General features: G+C 45.3%; 1 annotated feature.

The window, feature by feature from the left end:
* Positions 2,678-3,177: an enhancer, noted in NCBI's record as "H3K27ac hESC enhancer chr12:129212543-129213042 (GRCh37/hg19 assembly coordinates)". NCBI's record gives its function as "activates a minimal SCP1, AML or CMV promoter by ChIP-STARR-seq in primed H9 embryonic stem cells {active_cell/tissue: H9 hESC(primed)}" and the evidence as "EXISTENCE:reporter gene assay evidence [ECO:0000049][PMID:30033119]".

Below are 3,852 nucleotides of genomic sequence, written 5' to 3' on the forward strand. Positions count from 1 at the left end.
CTCAAACCCTGGAGCTATCTTGAGTATTCTTAAGACTTCAGAGCATAAGCTTTGAGATCAGAGACACCAGTGTTTGAGCCTTGAGTCTGGGCATCATTTCTTGCTATCTCCCTTGAGAAATTTACTTAAAGAAAAGGTGGGACTGGGGAAGGCAGAAGGAATAATGGGTAAATGAGACAGAGCATGCAGGAAGAAAAGAGAGGCCATCCACAGAGAACAGGAATGGCTTCCCTTTAGCCACCAGCGGGATAACCGTGTGGGCACTCAACAGTCTAGAGCAAGCGCTGGTCTCTTGGGAATGGTGGAATCCAATAATCCAGCCACTTGCAAACCCCTATCCCACATGGTTCTGAATGGATTAGCACATACAACTTAATATTGAAATACAGACTTGTTTGGTACAATCTCCTATGGACCACTTGTATGTTCCACTAGCTAGCAGTCATTTCAGCAGGACATGGCCCAAATCACCCTTTCCTATGATCTTTCAGAAAGACATACCAATGTCACAGGTGTCTATTAATATCTACCCACTGTAGTCTCAACAATGGCTTCCCAAAGATGTCATGTCCTAATTTCTGGAAGCTGTGAATATGTTACCCTACATAGCAAAAGGAACTTTGCAGACATAATTAAGGATTTTGAGATGGGGAGATTCTCCTGGATTATCTGAGTGGCTCCAATGTCATCACACATGTCCTTATAAGGGAAAGACAAAGGCAGAAGGGTCAGAGTTGGAGAAGGAGATGTGAAGATGGAAGCCAATCGGAGTCATACAAACAAAGGGCCTTGAGTCAAGGAATGTGGGCGCCTCTAGAGGCTGGGACAGGCAAGGAAAAGGATTTGCCGCTAGAGCTGATGTTACAGGAAAGGGGTCACAATCCAGACCCCAGGAGAGGATTCTTGGATCTCACAAGAAATAATTCAGGGCAAGTCCATAGAGTAAAGTGAAAGCAAGGTTATTAAGAAAGTGAGGGAATAAAAGAATGGCTACTCCATAGACAGAGCAGCCCCCAGGGCCGCTGGTTGCCCACGTTTATGATTATTTCTTGATGATATGCTAAACAAGGGGTAGATTATTCATACCTCCCCTTTCTAGAGCATATAGGGGTAGCTTCCTGGCATTGCCATGGCATTTGTAAACTGTCATGGCGCTGCTGGGAGTGTAGCAGTGAGGATGACCAGAGGTCACTCTTTATTGCCATCTTGGTTTTGGTGGGATTTGGCCAGCTTCTTTACTGCATCCTGTTTTATCCCAGTTTTATCAGGGAAGCCCACCTGCCAACAGCCCCAAGCATAAATTAGCAAAATTTGCACCTGCTGTGTAGGAAAGAGCTTAAGCTCCATTTCAGTTCCAAAATAAAACAGGATAAAACAGGATGCAGTAAAGAACTTTGCATGCTCACGTGAGGCATTTTTTCCTTACCAGTTGAGCCTCCCTAGAGGAAGGTCATATACCAGTTAAACTCCACCATTTTGCCTCTTAGCAGGGTCTTTGTGACCTGTATCTTGTGCTGACCTCCTATCTCATCCTGTGACTTAGAACGCCTTAACCATTTGTGAGTGCAGCCCAGTAGGTCTCAGCCTCATTTTATCCAGACCCTATTCAAGATGGAGTTGCAAGCAAGACCTCTGCACCTTGCTTTCACTCCCTCTCATGACCTGGCAGATCTTCAGCTGTAGGTTGGGAAACACTCTGCAGGAAGTAGGCTTACCATGCCATTGTGTACAGGGAAGGCCACCTGCCAACAGCCCCAAGCATAAATTAGCAAAATTGCATATGGTTTACATGCCTCTGACACCTCTAGAAGAAAGCAGTCCTGCCGACACTTTCATTTTAGGACTTCTGACCTCCAGAACTATAAAATAATAAATGTGCATTGCTTTAAGCCACTAAGTTGATAATTTCTTACAGCAGCAATTGGAAACTCATGTACCTCTGTCATAGGGTCACCATGAGGATTAAATGATCACGTAAGAGATGACGCTGATGTACCTGCATACAAGTCTGTTTGCAGAGCTTTAAAAATATTAACTGGTTTATTCCCTACAACAAACCCATGGGTAGGTAGTAGTGTTAGCAGCGGTGAATCTGTAGGGATCTGCAGCAACCTCAGTTCTTGCCTCCTCAGAAGAAAGAATTTGAACAAGAGACATAGGGCAGGGTGAGAGACCGAGGCAAGTTTTAGAGCAGGAGTGAAAGGTTTTTAAAAAGCTTTAGAGCAAGAACAAAAGGAAGTAAAGTACACTTGAAAGAGGACCAAGCGGGTGACTCGAGACATCTGAGTACGTGGTTTGACCTCCGAGTGTGTGGTTTGATCTTTGACTTGGGGTTTTATACATTGGCAGGCTTCTGGAGTCCACATTCCTTCTCCCCTGATTCTTCTCTGGGGCCGGCTTTCCGCATGCCCAGTGGCCTGCCAGCCCTTGCAGGGGGGCACATGTGCAGTGTGTATACTGGAGTTGAGTGCATGCTCACGTTAGGCATTTTTTTCCTTACCAGTTGAGCCTTCCTAGAGGAAGGTCATATGCCAGTTAAACTCCACCATTTTGCCTCTTAGTGTGCGCGCTTGAGTCCACTTGCCCAACTCCTGAGATCCCATCGGGAAGCTGCTGGTCACCAGTTTCAGTGTTTCTGTCTTTGGGAGACTGCTTTTCCCTGGCACTGGCTGTGACCAATTATTATTTTAGAGACACAGTTAACAACCCTCTGACCATTCCTGGGGCAGGTTGGGCCTCTCCTGCCCCGCTCATGTCTGCCTAGCTACCTACTGTAACAGTGGTGTTATTGCTGCCACCCTTTTACATATGAGAAAAGTGAGTCAACCAGAGGCCAAGCAGCTTAGTCATGGTCTTCTAGCTACCAAGGCGTAAAGTCCACATTCAAACTCCAGCAGCCTGGATCCAGTGGCCCTGTCCCTACCCACTGCACCTCACTATTCCTCATGTAGAAGCATTCTGCAAGCAAAATGTTTAGCATACTGTCAGAGGCATTCAAACCACAGCGACTCCATCTTGAGTGAGGGCTGGAAAACGAGGCTGGGGCTTGCTGAGCTGCCTTCCCAGGAAGTTAGGTGTTGCTAGCCTCTAGATGTTTACGGTTAAGGGAACAGATTGATAATATTTACTAAACAGGCCCAGACTTGGGAGTGTCTTGGTATCCTGATATCTTGAGAACAAAGGCATTCCTCATTTTGCTTTAAAGATAATAATATTGATTCTTGCAAAGTATAGTAATTAAGAAAATTAATCTTATATCACAAACCCTTGTAGCAGAACATATTTCCCCATGATCTTTTAAAATCCTATATATATATATGAGTATTATACTTAGGGTGGACGCGTTCCTCCTCTTACTTTCAGGAAGGCCCTGCTCTGCCTATGGAGCTGCCATTCTTGTATTCCTTTACTTTCCTAATAAACTTGCTTTCACTTTACTCTATGGACTGGCCCTGAATTCTTTTTACATAAGATCTAAGAACCCTCTCTGGGGTCTGAACTAGAGACCCCTTTTCTATAACAATATGATGCTAAATGCCTGAGGAATTTTCAGTAAATATGAGGAATTTTCAGTGAATAGGGACTCCTAGTGTGTTTTCTCTGATCTCCGTGAGTCAGGGAGGGATGAGGCGACAAGCAGATATGGATTTTTCTTCTATGCAGCTTTCAAGGGCAGCCAACCCCCCAGACCTGTGCTCCTTGCTTTCACTCCCCCTCATGACCTGGCAGATATTTAGCTGCAGGTTGGGAAACACTCTGCAGGAAGCAGGCATACCGTGCCATTGTTTACAGGGAAGCCCACCTGCCAACAGCCCCAAGCATAAATTAGCAAAATTGCACCTGTTGTGTAGG

The sequence above is a fragment of the Homo sapiens genome, chromosome 12 (assembly GCF_000001405.40).
Source record: "Homo sapiens chromosome 12, GRCh38.p14 Primary Assembly".
In the NCBI taxonomy this organism is placed as follows: Eukaryota; Metazoa; Chordata; class Mammalia; order Primates; family Hominidae; genus Homo; species Homo sapiens.